General features: G+C 36.4%; 1 protein-coding gene across 2 annotated transcripts in view; it reads right to left on the reverse strand.

Annotated features, from left to right (window-relative positions):
* Nucleotides 1-15,602, reverse strand: part of SPATA9 (spermatogenesis associated 9) — a 79,922-nt gene that overhangs the window by 37,518 nt on the left and 26,802 nt on the right. Inside the window, exons 5-7 of one of the 2 annotated variants that reach the window (XM_047417809.1) lie at nt 15,040-15,131; nt 11,549-11,673; nt 8,890-9,024 (exon numbers count right to left, since the gene is read on the reverse strand). The gene's annotated coding sequence lies outside the window, so the exon portion shown is untranslated. The remainder of the gene's footprint in view (nt 1-8,889; nt 9,025-11,548; nt 11,674-15,039; nt 15,132-15,602) is intronic. The other variant, NM_001349303.2, reaches the window with a different exon arrangement.

Raw genomic sequence — 15,602 nt, forward strand, 5'->3', positions numbered from 1 at the left:
GAGAAGACCCAATTAGAAGACATACTTTTGCAGCCACCAAGCATATGAAAGTATGTTCAACATCACTAATAACTAGAGAAATGCAAATCAAAAACACAATGAGGTACCAGATAAAGAAAATGTGGTATATACCCACCATGGAATACTATGCAGCCATAAAAAAGAATGAGATAATGTTTTTTTGCAGCAGCATGGATAGAGCTGAAGGCCATTATCCTAAGCAAAATAATGCAGGAACAGTAAACCAAATTTTACATGTTCTCACTTATAAGTTGGCACTAAGCAACAAGAATACATAGACACATAGAGGGGAACAACGAGACTGGGGCTTTCTTGAGGGTGAAAGTTGGAAGGAGGGAGAGGATGAGAAAAAATATTGGGTACTATGCTTAATACCTGGGTAATGAAATAATCTGTACACCAAACCCCCATGACAAGGGTTTACCTATATAGCAAACCTACACATGAACTGCTAAAATAAAAGTTAAAAAAAAGAAGATCAAAGAACAATGTAAAATGCTGTAATGTTAAACAGAATTGGAAATATCATCGTAAACTCAAGATTTTTAAGAATATATTTTTCCTAGATGTACAGGCTGAAACGGCTAGAATCATGGCCAACCCAGTAGAAAAGAGCACCCTGGTATCTAAATTCTGGGCTTTAATACCATTTGTTAGTACAATGAACCAGGACTCCTAAAGAAATATGTGATACCAAGTCTGGGGCAGGATAAGCACAAGGTGAGCCAGGGAGATCTTATGCCAAAAAGTTAGAATAATTTTGAAGGTTAATGGAGTCCTTTTAAAAGGAAACTCAGGCCAGCTTGAGCTGGTTCCTACTGGTCTTAGTTGTGATGATTTGGGCTTTGCAATGGAAGAATCAGGCCATCACCATGCTAATCTAGTGGTCAATATTGACATCACTAATATGGGACAAACAGATATTATGGGTTTCCTAATGTAATGCAATATGAAGTATGTACCATCTATGATATATTCCAGCCAAAAAATTCCAGTATGATCTAACTTTTAGATTTATCTTCCAGTTTCCCAGAAATATAGGAGATAGATGAACAGCCTAAATAAGAGCTTCTCAAACTATAGTGAAGCCAATACTTTTATAGATTAAAAGCAAATTACCTTTTAAAAAACACATTTTTAAAAGACAAACAATATTTCTGGTTTATTTTTTAATCTATATATAGTCAAATAAAACTGTCTTTTCTTTTTAAAGCTTCTGATTTTCCTTTCAAGGAGTTTTTTTCTAGGCCCTCAGTTATACATGTAGTCTCTCTAATTTTCTTCTGTTTCTTTTCTTTAAAAATTCATTTATTGGTGAAACCCCATCTCTACTAAAAATACAAAAAATTAGCTGGGCCTGGTGGCGGGCGCCTGTAGTACCAGCTACTTGGGAGGCTGAGGCAGGAGAACGGCGTGAACCCGGGAGGGGGAGCTTGCAGTGAGCCGAGATCGTGCCACTGCACTCCAGCCTGGGCGACAGAGCAAGACTCCGTCTCAAAAAAAAAAAAAAATTCATTTATTATTTCAACATTTCCTTCCATTAACACTTTATTTTTAATAGGCTGTTACTTTCATCCATCTGAATATCCAATTGTTTTAGTACCACAGATTAAATAAACTGTTGTTTTCTCATTGATACGAAATACCACTTTTGTCATATATGTTTATATATAAACACATACACACATATATGTTGGGAACTATTTCTAGGATTTCTATGCTGTCTCACGGATCTATTTGTCTCCTTCTATGTCATTAAAATACTGATTTGACTACCGTGGCTTAATAGTATGTTTTACGTTCTGTTAAGGCAAGATTCTCACTCTTTCATTCTTTGTAGTAGTGTTTTTTTCCTTATGCTAATCTCAGTTTTTCTGCTAATTTCTCAGATTTTCTACAAATTCAGTATCTTCAAGGAGTTACAAAAGATATTTTTATCTCTTCTTTTTCCATGTTAATGCCAATTATTTTATTCTCCTATTTTATTGTGTTTGCTAGAACTTCTAAAACAGTTCTGAATAATTATTACAGCAGGATCACCTATGTTGTTCCTGTTTTCAATTAAAATGGCTTCAATATTATACTGTTTACTGAAGCCAACACCAAACATTATTCTAAATAATCTTTATCATATTTAGTTTCTTTCTATGCCAATTTTGGTTTTGTTTGTTTCTGCTGGGATTGATTATCGAATTTTATCAACTTCCATTTCATAATCTATGAATATGATCGCTTTTGCCCCTCAATTTGTTGACATAGCAAAGTATGTATTGGCTTTCCTGATATTTAAACTGTCTTTACATTTTTGGAAAAAAGAATTTGTATTTGATTACATTTGTATTTGATATCTTGCTAGATTTCATTTATAATTTTTGCCACTATATTCATAAGTGAGATTGGTCTATGGCTTTTTTTTGTACTTAACAGATTGGTATTAAATTTTTGTGAATATGAATTGAAAAGGTTTGCATCTTTCAGTGGTGCCTGAAATAATAACATCAGAATATTTCAAATTTCTTTTTCTTTCTTAAAAACGAGGCATAATTTACATATTTTTTTAAAAAGCTAGTTAGAACTCAGCTGTAGAAATATTTGGTCCTGATATCTTTTTAGAAGCTAGTATCACCAAGTTTCAAATTTTCACATGTGGCAATTTGTACATTAAAATTTTCTTATTTGGGGACCGGTTTTGGTGATTTATGTCTTACTAAGAAATACTCATGCAAAAATTTCAAATATGTTGCCACAGAACTGCATTTAATTTTTAGTCTTCTGGATCTATATTATTTCTAATCTTGTATATTTTTTCCTTTTTCTTTAATCTATGCTCAGGAAGAATTTAAGGTTAAGTACAAAGTTTCCTTACTTTTAGTTTTTCTTCTTTAATAATGAAAGTACTCTAAATATGCCTTTCACTATATCCCATTTATTTTTGAAAGAAGAGTTCTTTTCAATGCTTCCTTTGATTTCTTTTTGCTCCAAGGACTATCTTAATTACATTTTATAACTTCCCAGTAATTAAGGTTTAATATTATATTATTATTTCTTTCTACTTGATTGACTTTTAGATCAGAGAATATGGTCTATAAAATCTCCACTTTTTCTGATTTCAAGGTTTTCTTTGTAGCCAACTACATACCAATTTTTTTCACAAATGTTCTAAATCATACAAAGGAGACATATTACTCTAGTCAAATAATGCAAGAATACGATACATTGAATTTATTGACTGTATTATTCAATTCTTTTATAGCCCACTAATTTTTGCCTGTTAAATATATTACTGAAAAAGAAATGTTAAAGTCTTCCACAAATTGTATTTTCATCAAGTTTTCCTTGCATTCTTCATTTTCTTCATTGTTTTTGTATTATATCAAGGGCTAGCAACAATGTAGAGCTCAGGAATGCTCACGCACTGATAGCGAGAATGTAAACTGGCATGCTTACTTTAAAAAACAATTAGTATCATCAAGTACAACTGAAGATTCCCATAGCTGTGATCACTGCTTCCAAACCTAGAAATATCCCCACCAGCACCAGGAGACCTAGATATGAGAATGTTCACTGCTACAATTGAAATATTAAGAAATTGTAAGCAACCCAAATATTCATCAACTGTAGAATTAATAAATAAAGCATAATATATCCATAATAGCTGCTGTACAGCAATAAAAATGAATGAATTATAATTATATGCAACATAATGAATAAATTTCAGGGATGTAATAATTTTGAATGAGAAAAAGCAAGGTACAGAAAAAAGGCACAAGATTTTATTTATATGAAGCTCAAAAACATTTAAAACTAAACAATATGTTAGAAGTACACACATATGTTGTAAAACTACAAAGAAAACCTTGAAAAACCATTTCTTTCATTAGTAACTTGCTCACATTTTGAGATGAATGTTTGATACCTGCATTCTGCAACACTTGAAAAAGTTAACTATATATAATATTAAATATTCCCCTGATTAAAAAATAGGTCTTATTTTCGCCTTAGAAAATTTTTTGTTATAAATATATTTTAAATTGACATCTTTCTCTTTTTTGGATCTTAACAATCTGTAGTCATCACTGTCTAGCTGAGTATCTCCTGATAGAATCTTCCATGTTGGAAATAGGCAAACTATAATTGAAGCATTTCAAGAAAAGCAAAGTCCAGACCAGGTGGTTCACACCTGTAAATTCCAGAACTTTGGGAGGCCAAGGCAGGAGGATTGCTTGAGCCCAGGATTCTGAGACCAGCCTGGGTAACACAGCGAGACCCCATCTCTTCAAAACATAAAAAAGTAGCCTGGTATAGCGTCACACACCTGTAGTCCTAGCTACTCTGGAGGCTGAGGTGGGAGGAACACTTGAGCCCAGGAGGTCAAGGCTGCAGTGACCCATGCTCACACCACTACACTCCAGCCTGGGAAAGAGAGCAAGACCTAGTCTCAAAAAAAAGGCAAATAAATAAGTATTACATACATTTTAAGTATATATATGTAAGTACATATAAGCTTCATATATTGTTATGATCTTTAGTTAGAAGTCTTAGATTTATCTACTTAGATGGTAACCTCTGCAGAGCATGACTTAAAAGTACAGATTTTGTATTTTAATCCCTTCAGCTATGGTCATAGAGTATATTACTTAATTACCTAGCTACTTAAGCAAATTTCCTTGGTCAAACCAACAATGTTGAAACATAAGGAAAAAGAAAACTGGTCATTTTATGTAAATCTACATAACTATAAAAAAGAAAAGTATCATGTTCATTCAACAGTGCTAAAAATAAAAATGCTAAAGGATGCATCCCACCCTTTCTTTTAAACCCAACATTGCCAGCAAGTTGATGATGATACCTCTTCAGGAGGGAGCCCAGACATGACATAATTCACTATGTGTGAATTTATTTAAATTTTCCATGAAACCAAATTTATTTTCAGCCAATATGAACCAATCATCTTAGAGATTTCTCAATTACTTTGTACAAAAATAATTCTTACATGTGAAGGATTGAAGAATATGCCACTTCAAAATATGCCACTTTGACATAAGAATTATTTTGAACTGAAGTCAATTAAAAAGAAACAGACACAAGAACAGCTCTCTGCCCTCCCCTTTCTACCAGGGAGGGCAGGATAATTCTTATTTGTCCAAGACAACTCTAGATTTAGTCCAGCGATGGCACCAGAGGAAGCTACATAACACACCAATCCAACAAAATCATAATATAATAAAATCACTAATTATTGAAAGCTACTAATCTAAGTATTTAATATATGGAATAGGCATCATTTAAAAAAATTTAAGTGATGTGTTTCCAGATGTTAAAAAATATACAGTACATACAGTATGAAGTCTTTATACCACATCTACTGTATACATGCATGTGACAAAGGCTACTATATTTCAATATGAATTTCTGTATCTCATAGTGCTATTATAAATACTATTTTGTAGGTAAGAGTTTATGGTTATGAATAATAATAAAAGTAAGGCACATATTATCAACTCCTGAATAATGTCCTGCAGCTTTACCATGTCAAGTCAATATTTGTATTTCTAGAGCAGTAGTTCTCAAACTTTTTAGTCTTAAAAACACGTTTGGCCAGGCTCAGTGGCTCACGCCTGTAATCCCAGCACTTTGGGAGGCTGAGGCAGGCAGATCACTTGAGGTCGGGAGTTTGAGACCAGCCTGGCCAACATGGTGAACCCCTATCTCTACTACAAATACAAAAGTTAGCTGGGCGTGGTGGCACGCACCTGCACTCCCAGCTACTTGGGAGGTTGAGGCAGGAGAATCGCTTGGACCCAGGAGGTGGAGGTTGCAGTGAGCTGAGATTGCGCCACTGCACTCCAGCCTGGGCGATAGAGTGAGACCCTGACTCAAAAACAAACAAACAAACAAACACATTTACACTCTTATATATTGTTGAGAACTCCCTAATAGCTTCTGTTTATGTGAGTTATATCTATTTATAATTATCTTATTAGAAACAAACACTGAGAAATATATGAAATATTTGTTAAATCATATGATATGCAGCTTCTTAGATAGCCCAGTGATCCCTGCCTCCTGGTCTTCATGCCCTGGTGTAATCCACTTCCCTTGAGTGTGGCCTGGACTTATTAATTCCCTTGAATACAGCAGAAATGATGGAATGTTACTTCAGATATTAGGTTACAAAAAGGCTGTGGCTTCTGTCTTGCTCGCTCTTTCTCTCTCTGAATCCCCATCTCTCTCTAAGGAAAACCAGCTACCATGTTGAGAGCTGTCCTATGGAAAGATCCATGTGGCAAGGAACCAATGTCTCTGGCCAACAGCAATGAAGACCTGGGTCCTGTCAATAGCCATATAGTGAGCTTAAAAACAGATCCTCACCCAGTGAAGCCTTAAGATGACTGTCACCCCACTGACACTTAATTATAGCTTTGTGAGAGACCCTGAGCCAGAGATACCCAACTAAGCTGCACCTGGACTCCTGACCCACAGAAACAATAAGATAATAAATATCAACTGTTTTAAGCTGCTAAATCTTGTGGTAATTTTTACATAGTAAAATAAAACTAATACAATTCATTTAAAACTAACAATAACATTTTCTATGAAAAATAACTATTTTCTAAAATAAAAAATGTAGTAAGCTGAGTGGTACTGTTTGCATTTTTGCAAATCTCTTCAATGTCTAGTACCATAGAAAACATTTGTTTTCTATATCTGCTTCTGAATTTAAGCTGTTGAAGTACATTGTTTTGGGTGAAATACATAAAGAAAATCCTGCTTCACACAGATATGTAATTGTAAAAGAAAGGAGTATTGTAATAGTTTTTCCAGATAACAGTGGGCATTACTCTTTGATCCTACAGCAGCACTCAACAAATGATGCCTTGGCACGGTGGCTCATGCCTCTAATCCCAGCACTTTGGGAGCTCGAGGCAAGAGGACTGCTTGGGGTCAGGAGTTCGAGACCACCCTGAGCAACATAGCAAGACCCAGTCTTTACAACAAATTAAAAGAATTAATCTGGTGTGCAGGTGGCTGAGATGGGAGCAGCACTGAGTCTAGGAGTCCAAAGTTGCAGTGAACTAAGAGCTAGGATTGCACCACTGCACTCCAAGCCAGGGGACAGAGCAAGACCCTGTCTCCAAGTGAAACAAAACAAAACAAAACGGTAATTTCTTAAAGATTAGGTGCAACCTAAATACCATATCAGTGAACTTTTTATGTTCTGTTACATTAAAATTTATAAATCTATCCTCCACTTTGGCTCATTTACTAATGCATAATTTTATAACATCATGCATTGATTATTTGAATAATATTGGTTCTCTCAATATCTTTGCATAGCAAATTACCCCAACTCAGCAACTTAAAACAATAAACTTTTGTTATCTCACAGTTTCTTTGGGTAAGGAATTTAAGAGTGGCTTAGCTAGGTGGTTCTGGCTTGAAATCATTCAAGAGGTTGCAGTCAAACTGTTGGCTGGGCTATGGTCTTCTTAGGACTCAACTGAGAGATGGTCCAATTCCAAGCTCACTCGTGTGCCTTTTGGCTGCTTCAGAAGATCTACTCCCAAGTTCACTCCCGTGGTTGCTGGGAACCCTCAGTTCCTTACCATGTGGCCTCTCCATAGACTGCTTCAGTATGTCCTCAGCTGGCTTCCCTCTCTCAGGGCCACCTCACAACCTGGCGGATTGTCCCATGGTGAGCAGTTCAAAAGAAACAGGGGTGGCAAGGAGAGACACACAGAGAGAGAGAGACAGAGAGAGAACAAGATAGTCTGCTCAAGATGGGAGCCACAGTCATTTTATAACTAATCTCAGTATGATAGCTCATCACTAGAGACAATCAACTCCACAATCAAGGGGAGGGAAGGTAACCTCCGTCTCTTGTAGGGCGCTGTATTGAAGAATGTGTAGCCACAGCTACAAAACCACCACAAATTGTCAAGCTCATCATTGTGGATGCAAGTTTTCCCGAGTTCTAATTTTTGCTTTAAAGCTCACATTTATCATTGGCAATAAACACTGTCAATTGTTTTCCTTGAAATGACAGACTCGCTTCTTTTACATTCGAGAAAATACCTGCCAAATACCCAGCTCCCTATAACCATAGTTGGGTGTTTTTGTCAGTCATTCTTTCAAGTGAAAATGACATTCCATGAAATGACATTCCATGAAAATGACATTCCATGAAAAAAAAAAAAGCAGCTCACAGCTCAATTACACAAGTACATTTCCTTGAGGCAATCATGTGTTTCAGTAAGCAGCAGAAGTGCCTATGCCTACTACTTCATATTTAATTACATGGAATGTTAAAAATGATGTGTACCCTGGGGTCAATATTTAACATATGTACTCAAGCTTCTTAAGTAAAACTGATTTCTTCTTTTTTCTTTTGGTACATAATAGAGTGCTTGGGACTTTCATTTGGGAAAATCACTGTGGGAAGGAATAAATAAGGCATTGCTTCATGGAAAAAGGTGTGCACTGCGATCAGATGGGAATTACATTGAGATTGGCAGAGAGGAGGAAACGTGGGAGAGGAAAATAAGCAGACAGTGGGGCTGGAATGAAATGAGCATGTTATGGTCTAGACTAAAGAGAGGGAAGGCTAAGTTCACAGCAAGCTGTGGACTTGATGCAAGCATCTGTGAAGGGAGCCAGTCTGAAATTCTCACAGCAGGCTCCATCTGAAGGGGCAGTGTCAGGCAGACTCCTAGACGCTCAGGGACTAGATTGTTATCTGGCCAGAAATGCAGTAGAAGGTTCCCGGAAGGCTTCCAAGAGACAAATAACCTCGGGTTATTTGCCACTCCTAAGGGCACCAATGTCAGTCATAACCATGCAGTTAAGTAAGAGCTTTTCCTATCTTACCTTTTCTCCTTCCCTCTTGCAGCTTTGAAGAGGCCAAAAGCAGAAACCGATGAGGGAGGAGAGCTGAGGAGAGGAAAAGCAGCTGACCAAAGTTCCCTCACTCTTCCACTGTAGACTTCCAAGCCTGGAGCAAAACTCAACGGGGAATGGGAAGAAGTTTTAAATGAAATGAGATTAACATTTGGTTTATTACATCGAACTGGACTCAATTACAAAAATAAAAAGACTACTACTTATTACCTGAGAGCAACAACAAAATTATCATTATTTATTTATTTATTACAGCAAACTCAACTCAATTACTAAAAAAAAGACTATTCATTTACTACCTGAATGCAACAACATAACTATAAAATCTCCCTGAGATTTGAAAGGGGTGGGAGTGGAGCACTATGAGCTGGAACAAATGGAAGGCGCAGGCTTGAAGGTCAGTGGGAGCTTTCAGCATGCACCCTGCTCAGTTCAACTCATTTAATAAAGTGCTTTCAATGCTGCGATTCATTGAGCTTCTATTTTTGCCAGGTTGAGGTTCTGCTGGGTATATTTTAATGAAGGAACAAAATGTATTTATATTTAGGAGAATGGTGTTTCATAATGATTGTAACCAGGCTAACCTGAGTTCATATCCTGGCTCTGCTACTTAAATAATGTGGCACATTTGTAAATCTCTTGGACCGTCGGTTTTCTCATCTATAAAATGGGGATAAATCATGCCTACTTTACAGGGCTATCATAAAGAGTAAATGAGATAATATATGTACAGTAAGTATCACAGTGCCTGGTATACAATCAGCACTCCATAGGTAGCATCAAGAATTATGATCATGCTCTTAGTGTGGTGACCTGGCCAATGGGAAACATTTACCAGGAACTAGTGCACAAAATAGACTGAAGAGGAATCAAGACTAAGAACAGGGAGAAAAATGAGAAACATTTAGCAATATCAACAAAAAATGCTAACACAGTAGCCATAGAAATGAAATAGAAGGGACAAATATAAAGGATATTTGAGAGGAAAATGGACATAAGAGATAACTGCTTAGACATATATGGTAAATAAAAGTGAAGGAAGAGTCCAAGGCAGCTTACATTTTAAAGGCTTAGTTGGATTGGAAAATAGTAGAAATGGGAGAAATACGGAAATTGCCAGAGTGAGCAAGTTTGGTGGGTGAGCATAGTGGGAAGAAATACTGGTTTTGTTTTGCTATATTTTGAATTTAGAAGACTCTGAGAGTTTCAAGTACAAATATCTTATAGTTATTTGAAAAGTTATTCATTCATTCATCTAATATTTCTTGAAAGCCTACTTTGTGTCAGACACCATGCAAAGATCTAGCAAGAGCAATCTAGTAACGAGTTGGAGTTTGAATGGGACATCTGGGCCAGACAGAAAGATCTGGGGACTCCAACATAGAGCTAGCCCCTGAAACCATGGATATTAATTAGTTTTCTATGAAGAGCGTCAAGAAGAAAAAACTTATGAAAATATTAACAGGGAGTCATGAGGAATGATCAAAGGGGTGAAAGCTAAAGCAGTGTCTCATGTTGTAATTATTTTTATATTAAATTCTAACCACCTATAGTTTATAATATTTAATCATGTCAATAAAGCAATTTCATAGTAGCTATCTATATTTTAAAATTTTTATTTTAGATAGTAGTGGGTGCCCATTTGCCCTTCATGCAGTTTCCCCCAATAACTACATTTAAAAAAAATTTTTTTTTTTGTTTAGATGGAGTCTCACTCCATCACCCAGACTGGAGTGCAGTGATGCAATCTCAGCTCATTGCAACCTCCACCTCCCAGGTTCAAGCGATTCTCCTGCCTCAGCCTCCAGAGTAGCTGGGATTACAGGCACGCGCCACCATGGCTGGCTAATTTTTATATTTTTCATAGAGACAGGGTTTCACCACGTCGGTCAGGCTGGTCTTGATCTCCTGACCTCGTGATATGCCCGCCTCAGCCTCCCAAAGCGCTGGGATTACAGACTTGAGCCACCGCGCCTGGCCAAAAATTTTTTTTAGAGATGGGATTTTGCCATGTTGGCCAGGCTGGTCTCAAACTCCTGGCCTCAGCGATCTGCCCACCTCGGCCTCCCAAAGTGCTGGGATTACAGGCATGAGGCACTGTGCCCGGCCCCAATAACTACATCTTATATAACTATAGTACAATATCAAAACCAGGAACTTGACATTGCTATAAACCACTGACTTGATTCGGATTTCACCAGTTTTACATGTACTAGTGTGTGGTATGAGTGTAGTTCTAAGCCATGTTATCACATATATGGATTCATATAATTTTCATCTTTATTTCTTAAAATATTTTCCTTTTTATCACTTCAGTTACTTAGATGAGGTGAAGAATCCACACCACAAGAATTTGAAAAAACAAATTTTGTAGTTTACTGATACTCCCTAATGTTCAAACATTATAGCAAAGGCCACAAAGATTTTTAAAATAGTTAATTAACAAGTAACACATATGTATTTTACAGTACTTTATCTGTAAAATGTGAGTTATCATTTCTGAAGTCCCTTATAACTCTGAAATTCTACAATTCTAGAATTCTAATTCCTAGGTCACTTAACCTCTTGATATAAAGCAGAAAATTGTGGCAACTGCAATAATTCTTTGGAAGCAGGCTCAGTCTCTTACCTTATCAGGACAGTGCCCAGTGGGACACAATTAATCACTGTCTTATTGTAGTAAAAACACTGCTAGCTTGGGAGATTTAACCAGGTTCCCACAGGAATCTGCTTCTCCAAGAGGACTTTGTAAACCTTTGGTAAGGAGAAAATAAACTAATCCATAGTTGCTCTAACAAAAAATCTACCATTTTTTGTAATAAAAATATTTTTTATCATATTGTTTTAATAATATTTTAACTAAAACATCTATACTGGTAGCATACAGTATATTAGTATTGAGCTTCATTCCCACTCACTTAAATCCAAATCTGTAGTATTCTGATCTTGGCTAGACAAAGAGAAAGCATCCTCAGTTTAGGAAGAAAATAATATTAAGCTAGTTGTCAAGAAAATCATTTATATACTAGATCCCCCCAACAGGTCTATAATTTATTTCATGAAAATAGTGAAAGCTTTTGTGCTTAGACAAAATGTTAGAAAATCCCTATAAGTAAGATCAGTGTCAGAACAAATATTTGCATGCTGAGAAAACACCACTTTGTGAAAGTTGCCATGAGATGTAGACTTTGTACAACAGTTACATTTGAGAGCTTGACAGACTTCATATGTTTTACAGATTGATGGCAATACACAGCAATCATAAAGCTACATTTCTAATTCAGTAATGTTCTAGAAAAAAACAGTAACAACAATAGCGGATTACATAATTTGATGATATTCTTTTACTGAACAAAAGTTAATGGAGTATATTTAAATCCTTAAAGGATTGTTCAGTAGCCTTTTCCATTTTAAACTGTACTAGTACTTCCATTTCATGATACCAAAATTCTCTCAAGAGGAAACTTAAGAGCACATAGTACTTGCTTTCAGTCAACAGAGTCAGTAGGGGAAGAAACCAAAAAGCCTTCTCACTAAGAGGAGTAAAACATGACACCATAAAGCCCAGGTGTTAAAAAAAAATTATGGCAAAACCAAAACACACACACACACACACACAATTTTTCATGTTATCTTCAAATTTTTGGTAGAGAACCACAGCACATCCTGGGGCTCAAAAAGTAGTTTGTCCTCATATTTAAAAATACGTATCTGATTTGGAAATATCCATCAAGGGATAGAATTCACATAGAGACCATTTGCAGAGCACTTCCAGGCACAACTCTGGGAGAGAGGCCTGAGTGTCCCCAGTTTACAGAAGCTCAGAGGCATCAAGCGACTTTACTCTACCACTCAGCTGCCCAGGGGCAGAAATAAAATAAGAACCAATTTGTCTAACTCAAAAATTTGCTGCTCTTAGATATATTCTACATTACCATCTAAGAGTCATTCCTGTATCTTTATTTAAATAGTCAGAGGCCAGGCACAGTGGCTCACACCTGTAATCCCAGCACTTTCAGAGGCCAATGCAGGACCACCACTAGAGACCAGAAGTTCCAGACAAGCCTGGGCAACATAGCAATACCCCATCCCTACAAAAAAAAAGTTTTATAAATCAACTGGGCATGGTGGCACACACCTATAGTCCTAGTTACTCTGGAAGTTTAGGAAGGAGGTTTGCTTGAGCCCATGAGTTTGAAGCTGCACTGAGCAATGATTGCACCACTACATTGCAGCCTGGGTGATAGAGCAAGACTCTGCTTCAAAAAAACAAAAATAAAAAAGAAAGAGAGCAAAAACTCTACTGCGGAACATGCAGCACTTCACTCCTATAGTTTGCATTGACTTCATTTATTTCTTTAAAATTTCCTATAAAGTACCATTTGCATTAAATCTGAAGTATTTTTCATTTGACTAAGTCTAACTATATGTTTGAGTATTATTTTCTGTTCTTTTGGTAAAGGAAAGTTTAAGTATAAGCAGGGGAAAACAGTATTTGGAACATATTTAGCAAAGGGCTAAAATCCTCACTTCATATGGAATTTATAAATGAGTACAAAAACATTTGAAATTAGGGAAAATGGCAAAGAACTTATACAGATGATCACAAAGTATTTCTCTGTTTCTTTAACAGATACTTTCTGAATGTCTACCATGCTGTGCTATGTATTAGGGATAGAATGAAAAAGTATTTATTGACTCCATGCTACATTGTTTAAAAAATGGTTTATTTAGGGCCAGGCACAGTGGTTTATGCCTGTAATCCCAGCACTTTTGGAGGCCGAGACAGGTGGATCCCTTGAGGTCATGAGTTCGAGACCAGCCTGGCCAAAATGGTGAAACCTTGTCTACACTAAAAATACAGAAATTAGCTGGGCCTGGTGCCACACGCCAGTAGTCGCAGCTACTTGGGAGGCTGAGGCAGGAAAATTGCTTTAACCTGGGAGGTGGAGGCTGCAGTGGGCCGAGATTGCACCACTGCATTCCAGCCTGGGCAATCAGAGTGAGAGCCCATCTCAAAAAAAAGTAAAAAAAAAAAATTCATTTTTCAAAAATATCTGGAAGGATATATATCATATATTCATAAAAATATATGGAAATGTACATATCAAGTGATTATCAATGGGTGGTTGGATTATTTATTTGAAACAAAATAGTAAACATGTATTTCTTTTGTAATAAAATAGTTTCATAAAAATTAAAAACCTATAGGCATTAAATCATCAATTATTCACATATTGTTCAGAGTTTTGGGTAATTAAAATATATTTCTTTTTTCTTACACATGGAAGATAGACTCCAATAGAAATGGACTTTTTCATTTTATACCACAATCATCCCCTTCCTGTATTCTACATTCAAGACCCAACAGACACACAAACACTGACAAACGTGCATGCAGATACACAAATAGAAGACTGTCTCCCTCACAGTGCATATACACACATACACACACACACACACAAACACACAGTCTCACTTTGATGTAAGTGAAAAAAGAGTCTGGCAGAGATCTGATGGTTTTGACCTTGGAAATAGTTTTCATTATTCTCTACATTTCTCTAGATTTTTCTTTCATTTGCAACCCCTGAATGCAATATTTTTCATGTTTGTGTATTACAAAATGTATAAATTCTTTCATTGGAAAAATAGCTCTCTGTCTGACCCCTCTGTTTGTTTTTGTTCCTAAATAATCTATTCTATTAGCTCTGGGTATTAGACAGTCTAAGGACACGTGGCAGACACATGACTGTAGCAGCTGCTAGTCTAAGGAGATGGCAAATCTTTCTGTGGAATCAAAACAGATTAATATGAAATAGTTGATAGGAGGTAGTAATTTTTTCCACTTAACTTTTATAATTATTTTATTTAGACTCATGTATAGAATGTTACATGTCAATCTATAAAAATAGTTTTAAATAAAATATAGGTCTCCTTTAAATGATTAATAAAATAAAGTATCAATTAAAGAGTTAAAACCAGCCCCATAATATGTTCCTTATAAATATATTGCCTTAAAAATAAATAAATAAATAAATATATTGCCTTAGTCCATTTGTGCTGCTATAACATAGTACCTGAGACTGGGTAATTTATAAAGAACAGAAATTTATTTCTCACCGTTTTAGAGGCTGGGAAGTCCAAGATTGAGGCACTGACATTTTTTGAGGATCAGTCTCCTTTTCCAAGATGGTGCCTTATTGCTGCATCCTCTGGAAGGGAAGAATGCTGCATCCTCATATAGTGGATGAGACAGAGGGTCAAGAGAGTGTACCCTTCAAACTTGAGCCCTTTTATAGGGGTATTAATCCCATACATGAGGATAGAGTACTTTTTTTTTTTTTTGAGACAGAGTCTCCCTCTGTCACCCAGGCTGGAGTGCAATGGCAAGATCTCAGCTCACTGCAGCCTCAACCTCCCAGGCTCAAGTGATCCTCCCACTTTTGCTTCCCAAGCAGCTGGAACTACAGATGCACACCACTGCACCTGGCTATTTTATTTATTTATTTATTTTTATTTTTCGTATTTTTTGTAGAGATAGAGTTTTGCTATGTTGCCCAAGCTGGTCTCAAACTCCTAGGCTCAATGATTTGCCCACCTCAGCCTCCTAAAGTGCTGCGATTACAGGCGTGAGCCACCATGCCTAGCCAGGTTGGAGTACTTATGACTTAATCACCTGCCAA

The sequence above is a fragment of the Homo sapiens genome, chromosome 5 (assembly GCF_000001405.40).
Source record: "Homo sapiens chromosome 5, GRCh38.p14 Primary Assembly".
Lineage (NCBI taxonomy): Eukaryota > Metazoa > Chordata > Mammalia > Primates > Hominidae > Homo > Homo sapiens.